Genomic DNA, 23,741 nt, shown 5'->3' with positions numbered 1-23,741 from the left:
TTTTTGGTCTAAATATCTGGCACAGAAATCACTGAGTGTCCTAAAATTTATAATTTATAATGGTTATTGGTTTTAATGGCTATTACTTCTACCATAGAGATTGGCAACCATTTTCTATAAGGGCCAGATAATAAACGTCTAGGCCTTCTGGGCATAAGGTCTCTGATGTTTATCACAACTATTCTACTCTGCTGTTGTAAGTGAAAGCAGCCATAGAGACAAAATGTAAACAAATGGGTGTGTTTCATCAAGGTATTCTTTTTTTTCTAACCATTTAAACAATTTAAAAACCACTCTTAGCTCAGAGTTTCTACAGGAGCCAATGGCTGGGGGATTTGGCCCTTGGGTCTGATATACCACAGTTTCCCCCCAAACAACTGAAGCCTGTGAACTCATGCTTGAAATCAGCCTTAAAGGTCATCTAGTTCACTGGCTTTGGGAGGAAAAAAAATGTTTTGAAACAATGGGAACTTCAAAAAAAAAGTAAGTAAAAAAAAAAAAAAAAAAGGAATGCTTCTCCGGTTAAACGGGGACAGGGATGGAAGGCACGCCTGGCATACTTCCTGCTTTGCTGTTTTGGGCCCAAAATACTTTTCCAGAATCCACAGAAGAGTTTTTAAATCACTGATCTAGTCCAAAACCAATTTTTCCAAGAATAGTCCAAGACTGCATAGCTACTTAGAGGACAAATGTGAACCAGAATTCAAGTCCACTGATCTGTGTATGAAATACTACATGAAATCATGAAATTCTTCTCAGCTCTATTAAAAGTCTTGTAACATTGCTGAATGGCTTAATGGCTGTGCTCCTATCACTGCTTTTTTCTTTTACATTTGATTTTGAAATGATTCAGACCTACAGAAAAATTTTAAGAATAATGGAAAGAACTATCATGTATCCTTTACCCAGATTTATCACTCTTTAACATTTTGAGACACACACACAACACACACACACACAAACACAATTATTTTTTCTTAACTATTTCAGAATACATTTTGCACATCATGTCCTTTATTCCTTGGTATTTCAGTGTGTGCTTCTTGTGTCCTATCACTTTTTAAAGCTGTAATTCTGTAGGCACAAACTTTGTTTTTACTGCGATCTAACCATCAAGTTTATATCCTCTCCTAGTCTTACTTTTATCCAACGTGATACATGATATGTTTCTCATATGCTATTGCTTTTCAAATGTTTTTATGCCATTAGTTTTCTCATTAATTTTCACCTAGCTATGTAATGAGGGTTTCCCAGTTTTTCCTCTTTCCTCATAGCTTTGCTTCTCCAAACACCTCTGTACATTTTCGGTACATTTCCGGTAAGGGGGGAGTCATAACTGAATCATAACTGTGCTCCACACTGTAGCCTCAAACCTAACCCTCAGAGCTCAGCTGTTATTTTCCAAACCATTGTAATTACCCTCCTATTCATATTACAATAAAGCACTGGTTATTTTATTACTTTTATTTCTATTATTAACTTTGAGTTTAAGTGTAGTGTAGTTTCAGTAGTTAAAGGAAGTATCACTTCCTTTAGAAGTAATTCATGCATATAACTAATGATTCCAAGCAGTTATACTTCCTGTTGTGTGTGTTTTTGTGGCCTATGTAGAAATTTGCTGGAATCAGAGGATCTGAGTTTATGTTCCAGTCCTGCTATTTACCAGATAGGTAATTTTTGTTTTTTTTTTTTGAGGCGGAGTCTTGCTCTGTCACCCAGGCTGGAGTGCAGTGGAGCAATCTCTGCTCACTGCAACCTCTGGCTCCCAGATTCAAGGGATTGTCCTGCCTTAGCCTCCTGAGTAGCTGGGACTACAGGTGTGTGCCATCATGCCCAGCTAATTTTGTATTTTTAGTAGAGACGGGGTTTCACCGTGTTAGCCAGGATGGTCTCAATCTCCTGACCTCATGATCTGCCCACCTTGGCCTCCCAAAGGGCTGGGATTACAGGCGTGAGCCACTGCTCCAGTCCCCAGATAGGTAATTTTTACCAATCACCTTGAATTAGTCCATTTTCACACTGCTGATAAAGACATATCTGAGACTGGACAATTTACAAAAGAAAGGGAGATTTAAGGGACTTATAGTTCCATGTGGCTGGGGGGGCCTCATAATCATGGCAGAAGGTGAAAAGAATGTCTCACACGGCAGCAGGCAAGAGAAGAGAGCTTGTGCAGGGAAACTCCCCATTTTAAAACCATCAGATCTCATGAGACTTATTCACTATCACAAGAACAGTACGCAAAAGACCTGCCGCATGATTCAATTACCTCCCACCAGGTCCCTCCTGCAACACGTGGGAATTCAAGATGAGATTTGGGTGGGGACACAGCCAAATCATATCACACCTAATCTCCCGTAACCTTAGTTACCACATCTAAAATGATACCCAACCTATCTATCCTCTAAACTTCTGCCTTATCTATTTCAGGAATTCTTGTGAGGAAAAAATAATAAAGTAAATGTGAAAGGGCTTTATAAGAAATGCCAAAATATTTAGAAACAGTAGATATCCAAGTATGCAGAATGTGGAAGGGATCATAGAGATTATCCAATTGAACTGGGTAATTATTTTACAGATAAGGAAACTAAAAACCAGAAAGAACTCACTCACAATTCTAACTCTTGGGCAGAATCAGGTTTTCTGGTTCCTAGACCAGTACTTTCTAACTTCAGCAAACTGTCTTCCTAGGCAGAGTCCACTTCTTGGTGGCTCAAGTTTATCCTCTCCATATCATGGTTTGATATTGTAAAGAACACAAACACAAGAGCCAACTATTTTTTTAAGCACCCACTGTAGAGAGTTTAAATAAATATAAAATTTAGAAAAAGCTAGATTATTTAAAGAAAATACACAAGAATTGTAGGTGGCTTCGAATTATATTTAACATTATTTGAAATATGCCAGGACATTATTTGAAATATGCCAGGACATTATTCTTGTCCACTGAAGTGCAGGTTTTATAAAAGTGTCAACAACCAGGATCTATATTGAGCTTGTACAGATTAACCTTTAGTTCAAGGTCAGTAAGTGGCCAATAAAAGCTGCCAATAATATTATCTTTTTTCAATTGACTTCATTATAAGATGTTAAAATAGTATAACAGGTTAATAGCAGAATAGTCATGCCTGAAACCCATTTCAGTATTGATCTGAAAATTTAGACTTGCAATTATTGAAGAGGATGCTGTCATAACTAGTAGATGAAATAGGCAACAAATTAATTTGTCTATAGTGTTAGGTGTTGGAAGAATATTCTCTTTGACATTGGGTTGAATCTACTCTTTAGTGCATTCAAACAGATCTCATTGATTGAATATAAGTAGGTTAAAAGATTGGCAAGACTTGAAGTCCACAAATCTGAAAAGGTTTTTGAACTGTTCTGATAGCAAAAGTCTTTTACTGTATGCCCTATTTAATTCAAACCTTTTATTCACTTGAATTATATAAGGAGATATTAGTAGACTTCAATCAGAGAAAAGACTGCAGTTTACAGAGTTCAAGGCAGTTGTCTTAAGATGATAGAATTGAAAAGGCCTCCAAAATGTCTGTCAGATATAGAACCTTCATAATCTCAAACACCAGATTAACCCTACTGTCAGGGAAGGTTTGAATGGCCAGATCCAGGATTTTATAGATACTTTTATAGGTAATAAATTTATGATAACACTAAAAATTATCGAATTCTCAGATGGCCTCGTGTGAGTTTGTACCTCTAGCTGGCTAACTAATCATAACATTTTTTTTTTTTTTTTTCCGTGACAGAATCTAACTCTGCCACCCAGGCTAGAGTGCAGTGATGTGACTTTGGCTCACTGCAATCTCCACCTCCTGGATTCAAGCCATTCTCCTGCCTCAGCCTCCCAAGTAGCTGGGACTACAGGTGGGTGCCACCATGCCTGGCAAATTTTTGTATTTTTTAATAGAGACGGGGTTTTGCCATGTTGGCCAGGCTGGGCTCCAACCCCTGACCTCAGGTGATCCACCCATCTCGGCCTCTCAAAATGCTGGGATTACAGGTGTGAGCCACTGTACCCGGCCAGTCATGAAATTTTAAACTTTAGAAGGATAAAGTCAGTTTTGAGGTTTTTACTGATCTGTTTTTAAATATCTGGAGAAAATTTCAGGAACGAATCAATATAATTTATAATGTTGATATAATTTATAATTTTATAATGTCAAAGACAGTATTGTTCCAACACCCATGGGTATTTTGGATGTGCCTCCAGCTTATGATTTTCAATCAGAACATTTAAATTATTTTATTTTTATATTTAATGATTCCCTTACCCCCCCCCACGCACAAATCTAAAAGGAACATGTTCATCAATTATAGAGGTTATGTTCCTGAACGGGACTGTGGTTGGCAAAACTATTATTGCTAAGATCATGATCACAAAGAATATACAGTTTTAAGGGGAAAATGTATGCCATAAAAATATTATATGCATTTTTAACTCAGTAAATTAAAGGAGACGTCGTCTGCTTTTGAAACAAACCAGATTTGCTGGCATCCATACCTGCTCTGGTATTTTCCCTGAGTCACCTTTATCAATTCTTCAAGGAAAAATTTCTGAGCTTCTCAGGTTAGCATCATGTTATCAGACTATAGCTCTATTTAATGCTTTTGAATCAGCCCTTTCTGCCTTGAAATTTACTGTTTCTTTGACTTATGCTTTCCTCTGTTTCCTGTCTCAGCAAATGCCTGTGTAACACCCAGGCTTTTTACAAGGTATCTAAATACTTAAGTATTGAACGAGACAGGAGGGAGTCTGATCTTGAAGACATCTGCAAAGAAGGTGGGACAACAAACAGAGTTCTTCATTAACTGCGTTTCCGCTGAGCTGAGCAAGTCGGCCACGAAGGGAACAGAACAGCCATGTGTTTACATAAGTCAATCACAGCGTTTTATTTTTGTTGTTGTTTTTTAATCTCAAAGCCATAGTTAAAATCCCCTCCAGATTCTACTAACTCAGAAATAGACCCAAGAAGGTAAAAAATGTTTTGATTCTCAACTTTATTAGCAGTAAAAGTGGTTATGGAGGGGAAAAAGAAGTTTTATCCTGAGGTCCCCTTCCTACATCTCTCATAGCTCTACCCATGGTGAATTGGAAATGAAGAGCCCCATGTGAACAGCAAACCTGATTCTTCCACTTAGTGGCAGGGTGAGAAGCTGCTTCTGAGAGAACAAAGGCCTGTCGGGGCCTGCAGGAGGCCGAACACACCTGCCAGCTTACTGATGAGAACCTGAAGCAGAGTCAGCCCACAATGCCTCGGGGGAGGAAACCCAGAAAGGATTCTAAAGGCTGGGCCACAGCACCATTAACCCCACAATAGCCTTACGATTGTCAGACTCTCCTCCTTTCACTAATTAAATAAACATCTGTTCTTGCCTTGGGGAAGAACAAAGATGGGGGGTGGGGCTGTGGAGAGACAGAGAGAGAGAGAGAGAGAGTGTGTGTGTGTGTGTGTGTGTGTAAATACAGCGTCTCTGAAAGAGGAGAACAGAACTCTTCATTATTCAAATGGTAAAGACCAAAAGGGTTTAAAAACTATCCCCTCTTTAGGTTGATTTTTTGTAGAGACAGGGTTTTGCCCTGTGGGCCAGGCTGGTCTTGAACTCCTGGGCTCGAGAGATCTGCCCACCTTGGGGCCTCCCAAGGTGCTGGGATTCCACACCCGGCCCTGAAAAGACGCTTAACATTACTAGTCATCAGGGAAATGTAACTTAAAATCACAATGAGATGCCAATACACACACCCACTGAAAGGCTAAACTTTTTTTTTTTTTTTTTGAGACAGAGTCTCCCTCTGTCGCCCAGGCTGGAGGCTGGAGTGCAGTGGCATGATCTTGGCTCACTGCAACCTCTGCCTCCTGGGTTCAGGTGATTCTCCTGCCTCAGGAAAGTCTCAACTCTTTTAAAAAAAAAAAAAAAAAAACTGACTCTACCACATGAAGATGAGGATATGGGGCAACTAGAACACTTAGACACTGTTGGTGGGAATGCAAAATGGTGCAGTGACTGTGGAAAGTTGTTGGTAGTTTCTTTAAAAGTTCAATATACATCTATTATGTGTCATTCCTCTTCTAGGTATTTATCCAAAAGAAATGAAAACATATGCTTGTATAAAGATTGCAAATATTCATTGCAGGCTTTTTAGCAATAGTCAAAAACAATCCAAATGTCCATCAATATATGAATAGATATATTGTGGTACAACCATGTAGTTAAATACTACTCAACAATAAAAAGGAACAGAGTATTGATGTTCACTGTTTACCACAACATGGATAAATCTTAAAATAAGTTGCTGAATGAAGGCTGGCATTGTGGCTTATGCCTGTAATCCCAGTACTTTGGGAGGCTGAAGTGGGAGGATTGCTTGAGTCCAGGATTTAGAGTTGGAGACCAGCCTCGGCAACATAGTGAGACTCTATCTGTACAGAAAAAATTAGCCAGTCATGGTGGTACTCACCTGCAGTCCCAGCTACTACTCAGGCGGCTGAGGTGGGACGATCACTTGATCCTGGGAGGTCAAGGCTTCAGTGAGTTGTGATTGCACCACTGCACTCCAGCCCGGGTGAAAGAGCAAGACCCTATCTCAAAAAAAAAAAAAAAAAGAAAGAAAAGAAAGAAAGAAAAAAAGTAGCTGAATGAAAAAAGTCAGGCCAAAAAAAAAAAAAAAAGTACGTACTGTATAATGCCATTTATGTAGAAGTCTGGAACATGCTAATTAATCGATGGTTACAGAAGGCTCAGTGGCTCTCTGGAGAAGGGGTTGGAGGCAGGGAAGCATTGCCAAGGGGCAAAGGAAACTTGAGGCTTATGAAAACGTTTGTTACCTTGACTATGGTATGTATATATGTTAAGACTGATCAAACTGTACTCTTTAAATGTGTTTGGTTTGGTGTACTTCAATTATACCTCAATAAAATCGAAAACAACAACAACAAAATACATTGAAAAAGCTAGCACTTCAGGATCTTTCAATTTAGGTCCTTTCCTGGCCCCATTGCAGAGGAGGAATCTTTGTCACTTATACCAAGGAATCTACTTTGTTTTCTCTGTTTGGAAAATTGTATCATGAACATCTTGAAGCCTACAGTTGACTAAAACTATAGCTGACAGTCAAGACTAGACCTTGTCTGATAAAATGCATATAGTCAGCTCTTGGTGGTAGGAGAGTTATTTATTCAGATGTATGGCTTAATCAGCCACACAAGATGGGTTATCATGTGTCACTGTAGGAGAATATGAATGTGATCCTAAGTGGGTTCAAAAAACCTGTAGGTTAAAGAGGTGACGTCAGCAGTCCTGTTATCAGACTAGGTAGATATGGTCAAATTATAAAATAGCGCTGTAATCGAAGGAGGAATTGAATGTAATTATTACTTGATGAGACTCCTGAATTTCTTAGATTCATTTACCAGCTACAGGTCCAGGCTTCCCAATACACTACTATCATTGCTCAAATTGTTTTGTGGCTTTCAAATGTTTTTCAGGCAACAGACCCTTTAGTCAAGCAAAATTTCCAAAATCTCACTCAAAACACCCACCTCAGGCCGGGCGCGGTGGCTCACACCTGTAATCCCAGCACTTTGGGAGTCCGAGGTGGGCTGATCATGAGGTCAGGAGATCGAGGCCATCCTGGCTAACACAGTGAAACCCCATCTCTACTAAAAATACAAAAAAAAAAAAAAATTAGCTGGGCGTGGTAGTGGGTGCCTGTAGTCCCAGCTACTCGGGAGGCTGAGGCAGGAGAATGGCGTGAACCCGGGAGGCAGAGGTGGCAGTGAGCCAAGATCGCGCCACTGCACTCCAGCTTGGGCGACAGAGCAAGACTCCATCTAAAAACAAAAACAAAAACAAAAAAAAACACACACACACACCTCAATCACCACCCCGCTGTGCATAACAGAATAATTTTATGACTATGTATTTACTTTGTAATCCTTAATAAAAATAATGTAACTAGAGAATAATGGCCACACGATTTCCCAAGGAGAGTTTGTGGATGACCGTTGGTGATGTATCAGCATCAGCATTCATTTCTATATCTTGTCTGTGTGAAATTCCAGATTCACACAAACAAGAAGTTCCAAATGGTGGTGGTTGTTTCTCTTTTTTTTTTCTTTTTTTTCACCAGTGCCAGTTGAAAACTGAGTATACTCTTCAATTAAACTGATTCAGAAGCTTGAGAGGATGACAACAAATATTTGCCTCTAAATTGAATTACTAAGGATATCTAACAATTGATTTCATTCCTTATAAAAAATTTCGGGGAAGAAACACAAAAATTTAAAATAAATGTCAAACTGATCTAATGTGAAAACATCACAATTCAATATGCTGTACATTTACTTGTTACTGATAATTCACAATGGTACCCACATGTTCTAAGAGTGTTTTTAGTTGTACAATTTTATGTGTTCAGACATGCAAAAACCTAAATTAAAATTGACGAGAAAAAACAAAAAGCTAAGTCAGAACAGTCAATAACCATTAAAGCAATACAAAAACTTTGGCCAGGCTCGGTGGCTCACACCTGTAATCCCCAGCACTTTGGGAGGCTGAGGCGGGTGGATCACCCGAGGTCAGGAGTTCAAGACCAGCCTGGCCAACATGGCAAGACCCTGTCTCTACTAAAAATACAAAAATTAGCTGGGCATGGTGGCGGGCGCCTGTAATCCCAGCTACTCAGGAGGCTGAGGCAGGGGAATCGCTTGAACCAGGGAGGCGGAGGTTGCGGTGAGCCGAGATCGCGCCATTGCACTCCAGCCTGGGCAACAAGAATGAAACTCCGCCTCAAAAAAACAAAACAAAACAAAACAAAAAAAACCAAACACTTTAAATATATTAATCCAGATGGTAGAAAAGTTGTGGTGGTCAGAATCGTACGTGTGACCCTGAAAAGCTATAGATTTTGTATACTCCCCTCCCCTTTGAGTGTGAGCAGAACCTTTAAATAACTTTCAACGAATAGAATATGGCAAAAGTGGTGGGCTATCACTCCTGTGATTACATTATGTCAGCTGGCAAAGGTAAAGAAATTTTGCAGATGTAATTAAGGTCCCCAGTTAGTTGGCTTTATGTTAATCAAAGGGAAATTATCCTTAGTGGGCCTGATTTAACCAGATGACCCCTTTCAACAAAGGGTATCCAGATGGAAGTCAGAGGCTCTCCTGCAGGTCTTGAAGAAACAAACCATCAAGAATTCTATAGCTAGCTGGCCGGATGTAGTGGCTCACATCTGTAATCCCAGAACATTTGGAGGCTGAGGCAGGAGGATTGCTTGAGTGCAGGAATTTGAGACCAGCCTGGGCAACATAGTGAGACTCTGTCTCTACAAAAAATACAGAAATTAGCTGGATGTGGTGGCTGTGCCTGTAGTCCCAGCTCCTCGGGAGGCTGAGGCAGAAGGATCTCCTGTGCCGGGGAGGTTGTGGCTGCAGTATGCTGTGATAGTGCTATTGTACTCCAGCCCCAGTAACAGAGTGAGATCCTGGCTCAAAAAAGGGGGTTCGGTAGCTGCAAGGAATGAACTGTGCTAACCACCACATGTGCTTGGAAGAGGAGTCTGAGCCTCAGATGAGACTGTAGCCCTTGTCAATACCTTCAATACACCCAAGAGCATAATATTCAGAAATGAGACTGATGGCAATGGCAGGCCGTCCAGAGCGGCTGCTACCATCATGCTGGTTGCAGCAGGGAGGCACGAGCAGTGGCAGCAGCGGTGGCTGTGGGAGCAGCAGTAGTGGCGGTGGGTGCTCTGTGCCCCGCATTTCCGACGCAGCCAAATGTGCCACCCCTACCTCGCACAGCTGGGCAGGACCTGCTCCCAGGTCTGGAGCCTCCACCGTGACCTCAACCTCACTGCCCGCTGCATCCCAGGAGCCCACGAGCACCCAGCTGAGGGCGCAGCCGGGACTCACAGGGCCAGCCCTGGAAGCACTGGGTTCATTTGTGTGGGGATGGCCGGGGCCAACGCACTGCGGGGAAAACGTGAAGAGAAGGCACCGCCAGGGCTGCACGGGGTTCCACTGAGCCTGCTGGAGCCGGGGACAAGTGGAAGCTGCGCCGCTTCTGAGTTGGTGGGGCAGGAGCTCCCCAGGTGCGCCTGCAGCCGCTCAAGCCTTCTGTGACCTGAGCACCCCTGTTCTCTTGGGAGCCAGGAGTTCCCCAGGCCCAACGGCAGCTGCCCAAGCCACGGCTGCCACCCAGGTACCCCTGTGCTCTTGGGAGCCAGGAGCAGGCAGGAGCTCTACCCTCCCAGGCACAGCTGCAGCCACAAAAGCTGTGGCTATGGGCCCAGGGATCTCTGCACTCTTGGGGACCCAGGGAGCCGCCGCTTCCCTTGCAGGCTTGGAAGTGCCTGCTCCCACTGTCTGGTTTCTCCCCACTGTTGGCTCCCACTCCGGTTGCCCAATCCAATCTTGAAGCAAAGTTGGGGCTGAACCCGAGTGCTGTTGCAGCCTGGCAGGGTGTGCACAGGCTTGGGGCAGTGCTGACACAGCAGCACCTGCCATCTCAGACCCCTCCGGACTTTGGGTGCCGACAAACATGAGAGAGAGGCCAAGGGGGTACTGAGGACAGCCCAGCACTGGCCTGCAGGCGGCCCTTGGCATGAACAGCCTGGGCATCATGAACAATGGCAGGAGGCAGACAGGCTCCTGGATGGAAGGGGGTGGGTCCCTGGTGAAGCGCCACCTTCAAGCCCATTGGGCCTGAAGCCTGGGGGCCAGGCTGCCCATCCCTGGGGCCAGAGTGGGAACTTGTGGTGCTTTGACCCGGGCCCGCCCATGGCCACCCATAGACCAATCAGCCCACACTTCCTCCCCCTGAGGCCCATACCCCCACCTCATTCAGCTAGACTTGAGGTGAGGATGGAGAGACACGGGACAACCAGCTTCCAAGAGGGGCTACCCTCTCTGCTGAGAGCTGAACACTCATTGGTATAACCTGCCTGTAGAGAAGAGGTACCCTCTCTACTGAGAGCTGAGCACTCACAGGGAAAATCTGCCTAGCAGAGAGGAGCTACCCTCTCTGCTGAGAGCTGAACACTCATCAGGGCACCCTGGCTATGGAGAGGAGCTACCCACTGTGGGTCTCCTCTGAGCTGTTCCATCACTCAATAAAGCTCCTCTTTGTCTTGCTTATCCTCCACTTGTCTGCATACCTCATTCTTCCTGGATGCAGGACAAGAACTCAGGACCCGCTGAATGGCAGGGCTAAAAAGAGCTGTAACACAAGCAGGGCTGAAACATGTCCCTTGTTCGCCACATTGAGGGTGACTAGAAGAGAGAAGCAGAGAACAGCTGCAACCCTTCAGGGATCCCAGACCTAGAAGCTCCCCAAGCTGGGGCTGTGACACCCTCTTTAGGGATCTATGGTTCCTGGTGTTTCCAAGCTTTTGGGCACCACTGCATTCCCCGGTGTCAGCTGTGGAAGCTGCTTATGGTACACCTGGTTTAGCTGCAGCATCGCAGGGAGCCGGTGCCTGTGCTGGGCCTGGAGCTGCCCGCCCCACTGCAGCCAGCATGCCTGGCTATGCGCAGTGACCAGACCCCACGCTTGCTCACAAACCCCTCACTGCTCCTTGCCTGGCTCACCCTTGGCAGACATGGGATCCAGGCTGGTAGTGGAAGCTGAGCGCAGCCTGCCAGGCCGAGTGGGCGGAACAAGCCCAGTGGGCCAGAGCAAAACTCGGGCAAAGGCGCCACTAACCACAGAGGTTTCCAGCTGGCAAAGAAACGCCCCAAGGATCCCATGACAAGACCATTAGTAGAGGACCCAGTGAAGCCATTTCCACACTCCTGACCCATGTAAATTGTGTAATAACAAATGTGTGTTGCTTTAAGCGGCTAAATTTGTGGTAAGTTGTTATCTAGCAAAAGAAAACTAACACAGATGCTTTATTCCCAGGCAAATAAATACTGAGAACAGTTCAGTGTTCTCATTCAGTGTTAAAATTTCTTTAAGCTCAGAATTATAGCTGAGCATAATCTCTGAAATGCAGCTCAGTTAGAGAAAAATACAATATGAAGAGTCCTTCAATATTATACTAAGAACCTGAGGAAAACAATAAACTGCTTGCTAAGCTCTATGCAAAAATGAGTTAAGCCAGCAGCATAAAATGACCTCCAATAAGTTAAAAGTTGATGGATGGCTGGATGCAGTGGCTCACGCCTATAATCCCAGCATTTTGGGAGGCAGAGGCAGGCGGATCACGAGGTCAGAGGATCGAGACCATCCTGGTTAACACAGTGAAACCCCATCTCTACTAAAAATACAAAACAATTAGCCGGGCGTAGTGACATGTCACTGTAGTCCCAGCTACTCAGGAGGCTGAGGCAGGAGAATCGCCTAAACCTGGGAGGCGGAGGTTGCAGTGAGCCGAGATCGTGCCACTGCACTCCAGCCTGGGTGACAGAGCAAGACTCCGTCTCGAAAGAACAAAAACAAAAACAAAAAATATCACTGAGACAATTGTCAGAACTTGAATGTCGTCTGAGGATCATAGTAATGTATCAATTTTAATTTCTTTATTTTGATGGTTACATTGCCATTATTAAGGAGGAGAATGTCTTTATTTGTAAGAATTACAAATTAAAATATTTGGGGTTATAGAAGGTCATGTTAGCAATTTTGTTTTAAAATGGTGAGGAAACAGATGTTCTTGCAATCTTTCCGGAAGTTTGAGATTGCTTTAAAATGAAAAGTATACAGAAAGCTAAAACTTGGACTTTAAAAAAATTATGCATTTGGGAAACGCCTCAAAAAATTCCCCTGAAGCACTGTTTTAAAAGTCTCTGTTTTGCCTATTCTTCAGAAAAATAACAATGTTTAATGAAAGTATTTCTTATCTATATGGCAACCATATAATTTTTTATTCATTTTTAAAACTGTAAAATTCATCATTTTTTAATTTGTGGTTTCACTAATTACTTGTTTCCTTTGTGATAGATCATGATTTGGCTTTGAAAAGTTTGCAGAAGATATATGCTAAAATAAGAACAAATTTATCTTTTCATATTTTCATACATCTATTAATTCTCCATTTCTCTCTATAATTAGTTTGATGCCAGGCATAGTGGATCATGTCTGTAATCCCAGCACTTTTGGAGTCAGGGGCAACAGGATCGCTTAAGCCAGAAGTTTGCTATGGCGACACAGCAAAACTCTTGTCTCTACAGAAAAATTTAAAATATAGAAATTAGCCAGGCATGGTGGCACATGCCTCTGGTCCCAGCTACTCAGGAGGCTGAAGCTGGGGGATTGCTTGAGCAATTTTAAAACATTGCTACTAGATTCCAAGAAGTGTTATCTTCTTATGTATTTACTCTAGACAAATGGCATGTTTAGAAACATTTGCAAACATTTCTGTTTATATGTCTTTTAAAGAAAAAATATTTCTCATTAAATGTTTTGATATTGCTTTAATCTTTTTATTTACTTTTATCTTCATGAAACTCCTATATTAGAACTCCCTGATTAATAGATGAAGGAGATGAGTAAGGGGAAGGAATGAGGGCATAATTCTCACTCAAAGAGCAAGCTTTCCTCTCTGTCTCTGGTAAGACTGCTGCTCTAATATTCAGCTTTGTAGTCATTGAGCCTACAGGGACTCTGATTTTCTAGACACAACTCTCCTTCTTTAACAGGTATTTTTATTCTGCCTTCACCAAGCAATCAGACTTGCCAGTAAACACCATGAACAGTTCAGAGCTATCACTCAGTGCTAAAAATTTATTTTGGCTCAGAATTACAGCCGAGAGCAATCTCTGAACCTCAGGTCAGCTAAAGGAAAAACAGGAAGAGTACTCCAGTACTATATACTAGGAGCCTGAAGAAGATATTAAGCTACATGCTGAAAATGTCGATTTAAGGAATAACGCCATCACAAACAACAGTGACTCAAATGTACATAAAGTGCACACAGGGAATAATTAGTTACCGTACAAAAATTAAAATTTCATATAAAGAAATGTATAGTTGTACTTACCCACGATGTGTAATGGAAAGAGCCTAGGTTTTAAAACTAGATGGACCTAGGCTCAACTTCAAATTTATTATTTGTCATTTGGGTAAACAGCGATGGGTAATTTAATCTTTCAACGCCTTAGTTTTCTCATCTGTACACTGAAGATAATAATATCTACTTTGCATGGTGTTGTGATGATTAAACATAATGCATGCATAGTGTCTAACACAGGGGCTGGCATGTAATAGCCACTCAGGAAAAAGAGATAATTAACCTTAATATCATTAGGTTGTTAGTGAAGGTACCAAAAGAAAATCACATTACAATTTTTTAAAATTGTCAAATTTTATTCAAAATAATACAGGCACATGGTTCAAAAAGTTAAAGAATGGAAGTATATAAAGGAAATATGCAGTACCTTGTTGCATCTCTTTATTTCTTAGTCCCACTCCCCCGAGGTAACACATTTCTGCTTTTTTAGCTGTTTCCTCTAGTGTAGGTTCACCTTTCTAATTTTTGATTCAATCACTTAACCACCGTTACATACTACAAAATATCACTATATTATGACCATGATTATATTTCTTTTCTTTTTTCCCTTCATCAAGGAAGTTCATCAAAGAATTTCATCAAAGTTCAATGATGACCTCTTTTTAAAATTTTCTTAGTATTCTATGTAACTATCACCGATCTTTTCCCCACACACTCCAAGAGCTTTTTAATATAATTTTCTACATAGCCATCAGCACAGATAACCAATCCTCTTTTTTTCCCCACTAGAGATGTGCCTTCCGTAACCTCTGTCCTCTTCCTTTAACCTGGAATATTGCTCTTCAGGCCTGTTGTGCAGCTAAGAGCTTCATTCCTCATCATCCTGGGGTTCTTTCCCTCTCTCTTGTGCTGGAATCCCTCTTGCCTGGATCTCTCACCTTCATAAATCTAGTTTACTCCTTTGTTTTGGTAGAACACATCCTCCAGCAGCTTTCTAGGGAAGGGTGCTTGAGAAACATATTTTTTGAGATCTACCTTGTAGTTCTGAGGATGATTGTTGACTGGGTATAGAATCCTAGTTTGAAAATAATTTAAAAGCAAATTTGTAAATGCATTGTTTCTTTGCCTTGTAGCTTTCAGTGTTGTTGAGAAATTCAACGATATTCTTATTGTCAATCTTTTACATGCGCATTTTCTTATCTCTGAAGCTTTTATGGCCTTTATTTGTGATGTTCTGAAGTTTCATGACATTGCATGTAGGCGTGGGATTGCATTTTCTTCATTATGCTGGGTTCTCAGTGGGCCTTTCAATCTAGAGGACTCATGTCAAGAAAAATTCCTTAATTAGAAAAAAATCATTTCTCTATGTTATGTCTGCTATTTGTTTCTGGAATGTCTGTTATTTCTGGACAAGGAATAATAAATCAAACAAGGTTTCTGGACCTCCTTGTTTGATCTCCTTTTTTTTTTTTTTAACATCCTTTTCTGGGAGATTTTCTTAACGATTTTCTAATATTTCTACTGATTTTTTTTAAAAATTATGCTATTATAGTTACATTTCTAAGAGCTCTTCCTTATCCTCCAATTTTTTTTTTTTTCTTTTGAGACCGAGTCTCACTCTGTTGCCCAGGCTGGAGTGCAATGGCATGATCTGGGCTCACTGCAAGCTCCGCCTCCCGGGTTCATGCCATTGCCTCCCTAGTAACTGGGACTACAGGCGCCAACCACCACGCCCGGCTAACTTTTTGTATTTTTAGTAGAGACGGTTTCACCGTGTTAGCCAGGATGGTCTCAATTTCCTGACCTCGTGATCAGCCCGCCTTGGCCTCCCAAAGTGCCGGGATTACAGGCGTGAGCCACCGCGCCCGTCCAATTGTTCTTTTCTAACATTGTCTGGTTCATCCTAAAGGATCTTCCGAGTATGTTAATCTCTGAATAATGTTATATCATCAGATTTTTTAAAAGCTTCTTCAGTTCCCTTTGTTTCCTCTGTTTCTGCCAAAGTTATTTTTTCCGCTGTGTTTTTTTTTTTTTTTTTTCTTGCGCTGTTTTTCCATGTTAAAGGCTTTCTTCAAATGCCTGGAGATCCTGGCTGCCCATATTAATGAGTAAAACATAGGAAAGCTGTTTGGAATCTCTGTGTATACGGGCAGGAAAGACCCTTAAAATGTCTTGAAGGAATAAGAAAATGGTACAATATACAGAAAGCAGGGCTTCTATGTACCTAGAAAAAAAACTTGGAGATATGTGCTGAAAAGTTAAATAGTGTCCTCCTAGAAAAATCTATTTTATTTAAAAAAGTGGAAGAAACAAGATAGGAAGAAACCGACGCGTTCTGGCCAACCTGGTGACGCATTTGAAATGTAATCAGCTGAAGGACTTTATCTGTTTAAGACAAAGTGAGAAGGCACAGTAAGAACCTAAGAATGGGATGGCCTGATCAAGAAGATAGTGAGAGAAAACATTTGGAAGTGATCGAGATGATAGTGAGAGAAAACATTCGGAACTGAGTTAAGAACAGGCTGTTGTGCTGAGGAATCCGGTGATGATATCATAATGTTAGTTCAAGGAAGCGAAGTTAGTAGCCTGCACATTCTGCTATTTCTATGGGGCTGAAAATCATCTGCCCTCTGCCTATGGAAATAAGAGCAACACCAAAGTATCCATGAGTAAAAGGAATGTTAAAATTTGACATCCTGATTATTTCTTTTATTTCTACAATCCAATTATCTGAGCAAGGGACATGCAAAAAGTGCCATCTGCACAACCCAATCCCCCTCCAATTCAGCTGTATCTTGGAAGAGTAAATAACACATATTCTAAAGTCATAGTTCTTTGGCAAAGAAAATATATATATTCTCACAATGGTCACAAAAGGCTCATTTAAAAGAAGTATGTTCAGAGATTATCTCCTTATCTTAACTGTTTCATGATAAAACAAGGTTAGGCAAAAACTAGACCTGAATAAAATTATATTTCTTTTAAATCACATTACTGACTTTTTCTTGTGCTACCCCTACCTTTACAATATATGTCCCAGTGAAATCTATAAACTTGCTTTACTTTACTGAAATATTATGGCAATATCTTGTCCTTCTATCTTTTTGGACCATTTAGATTTTATAATCTGGTATTCTAAATTTAGTATTAATTCATCTGAATATTTTCCAAACTTCTCAGAAAAAATACCAACACTTTAACTTAAAATTTTTTAAAATTTCTTTTAAAATTTTCCTGGGTAGGTAGTAGATATATATTTATGGGGTAACATGATTTTGAAACAACACTTAAGGAAACAGTTTTTAGCACTCACAAATGATATTACTATTAAAGGGGAATGTCACCTTTCTTCTCCTGTTTTTCAACAGTGTTTTGTTGTTGTTGTTGTTGTTTTCCTTCTTCTTCTCTTCACACTTGTGGTCTTTTTCCCCAATCCCCTGAAGAGATAGAGTGAATGGTGAATTTGGAAAGAACAGGATCTTGGTAGCTCAGCTCCTTCCTCTCTTTTCTTCTTTGTTTGGCATTTTCCTGCCTGCTTAGCACATTTGTTCTTGGTTATTCTTGGTCATGTTACAAAATGTAAGAGTAAAGGCCAGACCTCAAGAAGTGGATGGAGAGAGACTGTCGACAGCCTCGTTACAGCAAGGTAGGTTTGGCCATTAAATTTTGGAATTCAGTGACAAGCCCATTCAGCTTTCACACATCCTCTAAGCGATACTTTCTCATGATGGAGTTATTCTGGATGTCATTTTTCTCATTCCTTTTCTTGTTTCTTAATTAGTTTCACTACTCAGGAGGGACAGGGGTACTAGTTTTAGGACCTCCTCAAGACCTCAGAAGTAGCCAATGAGTATGATCTTTCATCTGGAAAACTGCTATAGGGTTATCTACAGCATATATAGGATGATCTTGCCAATGTCGCACAAGCCATGTTGTCATTGGAGGGCAAGGGTGAGTTCCTGTAGCTAAAGCTTGTAAGTAGGTGACATTGACAAGGCGGAGCAGGTAGAACGAGCAGAAAAGGCATGTAAAGATGGAACCTGGGAGAACAGAGCATTTGAGGAACTATCCAAGAAAAAAGGTATACCAAACAGAACTGGAAAGTAATAGAAGGACAATCAGAAGGGTATAATATCTCATAAGCCAAGGAGAGAAAGAATTTCAAGATGGGTCATGAGAGACACTTACACTTATTAATTTCTCAGAAATCTCATCACATAGGAAGAAAGAATTTGATGGTGAGACTGAAAATTAGAGAACTGTTTCTCAAAATTGAAAAAGGATATATATTTCTTTTTCAAGGAAAAAGTTACTGAGGACTCTGTTCCACAGTGTTGAGTTAAATAATAATAAGAATTACTATTATTTTGAGACAGGGTCTCACTCTGTTGCTCAGGCTGGAGTTCAGTGGCACCATCTTAGGTCACTGCAGCCTTGACCTCCTGGGCTCAAGCAAGTCTCCAGCCTCAGCCTCCTGAGTAGCTGGGATAACAGGCAGGCACCACCATGCCTGGCTAATTTTTTTGTTTTATTTTTAGTAGTGACTATGTCACACTATTTTGCCCATGCTGGTCTTGAGTCTTGAATTCCCGAACTGAAGCAATCCTCCCGCCTCGGCCTCCCAAAGTACTGTAATTACAGGCATGAACCACCACACCCAACCTGTGTTATATTCTTGTTCTGATGTTACATAAATATGTGAAAACATAAAACTCATTTTAACCTCATTTAACTCATTTTAACCTTACGGCTCTTACGTAATTATAAACATTGAATAAATTTATAAGTTAAATACAAGTCAAATTATTAAACAGTAGTCAAGTCAAATTGCTATTATAGATTATTATTTTCCTAGAAACCAAATTATTGATCCCAAAGTGATGATGCAAATTGACACTAGTCAGATAGTTTGGGTTTTGGCCTATAGATGCCACTGTGTTCTTCAGGTGACTAAGTTTTCCCACCACTTTTCTCTGATGGAATGATTACAAAACTTTCATTCAATGTGCCCTGAAGTCTTCATATGCACAAACTCGTTATTTGCGTATTATGTTGGCATCTGTTCCTTTATCATTAGTCAATGTCATTCAAAGTAGCACTCCTTATTACCAACTAGATCAAGCTGGGGCAGTGAAATAAGGAAACATGACTCAGATACCAGATGGTTATGCAGACAGTCCATTGTATGCTTATGTTGGGGCTTAAAAGAAAATAAAAACATTATTATGGAAATGAAAATTTTATGCCAAAATTTTGTGGTAGGGAATTGGCAAACTGAGTCCATCTGTGGATCTCAGTTGGAGAAACGCTGATCAAGGGTCTCCTTCCCCATACCTGTTACTGTATTCAGAAAAGAGGACAGTTGCTATGAAATGATCAAGTTCAAAGATAATTTACTGGGCCATACCTTCTGGAGCTGGAGCTTCCATTGTGCCTAGCAAGGGAATTAGAGCCCAAGTAGAGGTGGCCCCTTGGAATGCCTTTCTTTCCACCAGAGTGTGAAAGGGAGACCTCTCCTGGACTGCTGCTACTAGGGGAAAGCCTACTAACCACTTTCCCCTGCTCTCTCTCTCTTTATATTTCTCTCTGGCTTCTTCCTTTACTCTTTGCAATCTCTTATACCGAGGTCTCAAGTTTAGGAGCTGCCTGAATTTTAGCAAGATTTAAACAATCCATTAAAGGAAGAAATTTTATTTGAGCAAAAAATGCTTTCTGCTGCACGTATCCAAAAACTAAACAGTGGTTTAATCAAACATGGTCTTTCTCATGTAACAAAAAGTCTGGAGATAAACAGTTGCAAGACAGTTCAGCCGCTCAATAATGTCATTCAGTTCTCCATTTTCTGGCTCTGCTATTCTTAGGATGCTGGCCTTTTATCTTAGTGTTCTTTGCTTCATAGTTGCCAGACGGCTGTCACAGCTTCAGAAATCACGCCCAAGTTCCAGCAGGAGCAAGGGCAAAAGGGGGGTGCCGATCATATCTTTTTATTTCTTTTCTTTCTTTCTTTCTTTATTTTTTGAGATGGAGTTTCGCTCTTGTTGCCTAGGCTGGAGTGCAATGGCATGATCTCGGCTCACTGCGACCTCCACCTCCCAAGTTCAAGCAATTCTCCTGCTTCAGCCTCTTGAGTAGCTGGGACTATAGGCGCCCTTCACCATGCTTGGCTAATTTTTTGTATTTTTAGTAGATACAGGGTTTCACCATGTGGGCCAGGCTGGTCTTGAACTCCTGACCTCAGGTGATCCACCCGCTTCGGCCTCCCAAAATGCTGGGATTACAGGCCTGAGCCACTATGCCCAGTCTCTTTTTTTTTTTTTTTTTAGATAAAGAAGTAAACAGTTTCCCACAGTCACTGTTGCTTCTCTCCTATTCTTGCCTAAGTGAGATTGGGAGAGTGAGTATTTATACTTTCTAGTTTCTATAGAGAAGGTGGGCAAGGGAAACTCAAATTGCTAATGGGTGTTTGATTTTGCCAACCAGTGTGTCTGCCACAGATGGTGACAGAGAAAGTTGCTGGGTCACCATTGCTCTAATCCCCCACCCCAGAGGACAGACTTCCAAGATATGTAGAAGGATACGTGGCAATAATAACAGCTGCCTGGAGAGAAGCAATTGTGTACAATGGTATATAACTGTGATTAACTTGTTGGGGAGTCTTGAGGTAGGTAACGATTTGGGATACAAAGTCTGAAAGTGTTTCAGAACAAGGTCACTGGGCCAAATCATGGGCCCTCTATTAGGTTTTTAAACTATGCTCAAAAGTACTACAGATTAGGGGCCCGTTAGAAATGAGCAAAGCCATAAAGAAAATACCCTGACAACTTTGTAGATGGTTCCAAAATAAAAAGACATGAGACACATGTGAGTATATATAACTTGGAGTATTAGGAGGAGTCAAATTATTTGAAGTCAAATGAGCAGAAACATGAATGCAGATAAATATTTCAATTCAGAAATAGTTTTTCAGAAGTAGTCATTTTGTGATTATCTTTTATGATATATAGTCTACAATATTTTTGAGGAGCTAATGAAAAGTTCAAGTTAAAGTTGATGTAGAAGAGACTAAATAAAACATTATAACTGTTATAAACAAGCATATTTGTAAAATGAATTTAAGCCTCATTTTTAATTAAAATAAAGTTAAATTCTGCTTATCAACCTAAAGTTAAAGAAATTATTCGAAATCATTATATCCAAAATATATCCATACTCATATGTTTATTGCAGCACTATTCACGATAGCAAAGATATGGAATCAATGTAAGTGTTCATCAACAGATAATTGGATGAAGAAAATGTGGCATATATATATACAATGGAATACTATTCAGCCATAAATAAGAATGAAATCATGTCTTTTGCAGCAATGCGGATGGAACTGGAGGTCATTACCTTAAGTGAAACAAGCCAGACACACAAAGTCAAATATCACTGTTCTCACTTATAAGTGGGAGCTAACTATTGTGTATATATGGACATAGAGTGTGGAATAATAGACAGTGCGGATTTGGAAGAGTGATGGGTGGGGGAGGGTGGTTGCTGAGAAATTACTTAATGGGTACAATGTATATTATATGGTTGATGGATACCTTAAAAGCCCTGATTATCACTACACAATAGATGCATGTAACAAAATTGCGCTTGTACCCCACATTTATACAAAAAAAGTCAAATTTATTGTTAAATATCTCTTAGGCATGGAAACCTTTTCAAATTTTCAAAGATTGGATGAGCTGTGAATTTCTTTTTTTTTTTTTTTTGAGACGGAGTCTCGCTCTGTCGCCCAGGCTGGAGTGCAGTGGCGCGATCTCGGCTCACTGCAAGCTCCGCCTCCCGGGCTCACGCCATTCTCCTGCCTCAGCCTCCCGAGTAGCTGGGACTACAGGCGCCCGCTACCACGCCCGGCTAATTTTTTGTATTTTTAGTAGAGACGGGGTTTCACCGTGTTAGCCAGGATGGTCTCAATCTCCTGACCTCGTGATCCGCCCGCCTCGGCCTCCCAAAGTGCTGGGATTACAGGCGTGAGCCACCGCGCCCGGCCGAATTTCTTTTTTATATAATCCATGTGATTATACTTTCATTGAGAAGCAAACATGCTGCTCATTATTTTAAGACTATACAATTTTTACAAAAGGGTCATCTAAGGTCAGGAATTTGAGACCAGCCTGGCCAACATAGTGAAACCCTGTCTGTATGAAAAATACAAAAATTAGCTGAGCATGATGGCAGGTGCCTGTAATCCCAGCTCCTCAGGAGCCTGAGGCAGGAGAATCTCTTGAACCCAGGAGGTGGAGGTTGCTGTGAGCTGAGATCGTGCCACTGCACTCCAGCCTGGGTGACAAGAGCGAAACTCCGTCTCAAAAAAAAAAAAAAAGTATTAATTCAATGTATTCATCAGGTATCTAATGAACCCTTCCCATGTGCCCGGCAAATCCAGTAATAGGCATGGAGAATGCAGTTGAATATGAAAAGTGCCTTGTGGGCTGGTGGGGGACAAAAGACAATTAAAAAACTAATTCAATAAAGTACAATAAATGGATGAGGAAGTACCAAATGATACTAGTGTGGCGTAGAGTATACAACCTGGGGGGCACTGAATCAGCAGTGGGGTTTCTGGGGAGGTTAGAAAAGGCAACTTGGATGAAGTGATGTCTAAGGTGAAACCTAAGAGATAAGTAGAAAATAGCCAAACGGAAGGTTGGGGTGAGAGTGTGGGTGGAAACAGACAATGTTTTTCCAATTTGAAGTAGCAGCAAGCGTGAGAGTGAAGAGGCCATTGAAGGTGGGACAGGCAGTGAAAGCAGATAAAGCTCTAAACTTCGAGTCAGGAAACTGGAGTTCTAGTCTTTGCCTTGCCTCTTGTGAGGTATGCGTGAGGCCTTGGGAAAGCCATTTTAGGTACAAAGTCTCTTGGTGAGATGTATTTTCTGATTTACTCAGTGACTACTCCTCCCTCACTTGTGAACCGCAATCATAGCATAGTCAGCCCTCATTTCTAATGGATCACATGTCCTAGCATTCTGGTGTTTTGCAGCCAGAATTAAAGTAAAAAACCACTGTTCAGCATATTAATTGGTATCCGAGGGCTCTAAAACCTAAAGATCATTTTCTTTCTACTGGTTGCACTGTTTTTTTTTTTTTTTTTTTTTATTTTGGGGGAGTTAAATAAAATAAGCATGTCTCCATCCTTTATTCCTAAACATTTACTTATGACAAATGTAACAACTGACAGAAATTTGAAAAATACCAGACACTTCTTAAATGATTTCCCTTGGTTCAAAATTTACCCCTTCTTGTTTTCTCTTGCTTTTCAGGTAATTAACTCTTCTCTTTTTAGTTTGAACTATGCAGTGCAAGATTCCTCTGTAGTCTTTCCAAGTGGAAGGGTATAAAAAAAAAACACTTTATATTATGCCAGGTGAGGTGTCAGAACCCTGGCATCGGAAAGTGGTTGGCTCACGGGTCATAGGGTAGTAAGAAGAATTTACAGAAGACAGTATAGGTTCGAAAAAGAAAGTTTTATTAGAAAGAAAGAACAGTGCAGAAGAGTACAGCAGGGTGCCTCAGCAAGAGAGGACTGAGTGGATTTTCCTTAGGGATATTTATGAACCTTAAAGCAGGAGCTTAAAGGGAATTTGGGCCATATTAACCACTTAGGTCATGATAAATGATTACATTTTTGGACATTTTGGTGTCTTAATGTCAGCAAGGGTTGCACGATAAGTTTTGACATGCATGCATGGGAGACATGTAGAAATTCTAGTTACTT

At 41.0% G+C, this 23,741-nt stretch overlaps 1 long non-coding RNA gene across 1 annotated transcript, besides 4 other annotated features; it reads left to right on the top strand.

The window, feature by feature from the left end:
- Positions 1,284-1,353: a silencer, noted in NCBI's record as "silent region_9471". NCBI's record gives its function as "represses an Ori minimal core promoter by ATAC-STARR-seq in GM12878 lymphoblastoid cells {active_cell/tissue: GM12878}" and the evidence as "EXISTENCE:reporter gene assay evidence [ECO:0000049][PMID:35858748]".
- Positions 3,801-5,392, top strand: LOC124904306 (uncharacterized). The gene is made up of 2 exons (XR_007066378.1): positions 3,801-3,882; positions 4,698-5,392. It is a non-coding gene; the product is annotated as an uncharacterized LOC124904306 (long non-coding RNA).
- Positions 4,259-5,145: an enhancer, noted in NCBI's record as "OCT4-NANOG-H3K27ac-H3K4me1 hESC enhancer chr18:51773737-51774623 (GRCh37/hg19 assembly coordinates)". NCBI's record gives its function as "activates a minimal SCP1, AML or CMV promoter by ChIP-STARR-seq in naive H9 embryonic stem cells {active_cell/tissue: H9 hESC(naive)}" and the evidence as "EXISTENCE:reporter gene assay evidence [ECO:0000049][PMID:30033119]".
- Positions 5,146-6,031: an enhancer, noted in NCBI's record as "OCT4-NANOG-H3K27ac hESC enhancer chr18:51772851-51773736 (GRCh37/hg19 assembly coordinates)". NCBI's record gives its function as "activates a minimal SCP1, AML or CMV promoter by ChIP-STARR-seq in naive H9 embryonic stem cells {active_cell/tissue: H9 hESC(naive)}" and the evidence as "EXISTENCE:reporter gene assay evidence [ECO:0000049][PMID:30033119]".
- Positions 22,722-22,801: an enhancer, noted in NCBI's record as "active region_13342". NCBI's record gives its function as "activates an Ori minimal core promoter by ATAC-STARR-seq in GM12878 lymphoblastoid cells {active_cell/tissue: GM12878}" and the evidence as "EXISTENCE:reporter gene assay evidence [ECO:0000049][PMID:35858748]".

The sequence above is a fragment of the Homo sapiens genome, chromosome 18 (assembly GCF_000001405.40).
Source record: "Homo sapiens chromosome 18, GRCh38.p14 Primary Assembly".
Lineage (NCBI taxonomy): Eukaryota > Metazoa > Chordata > Mammalia > Primates > Hominidae > Homo > Homo sapiens.
This window is presented reverse-complemented; position numbering and strand designations above follow the sequence as displayed.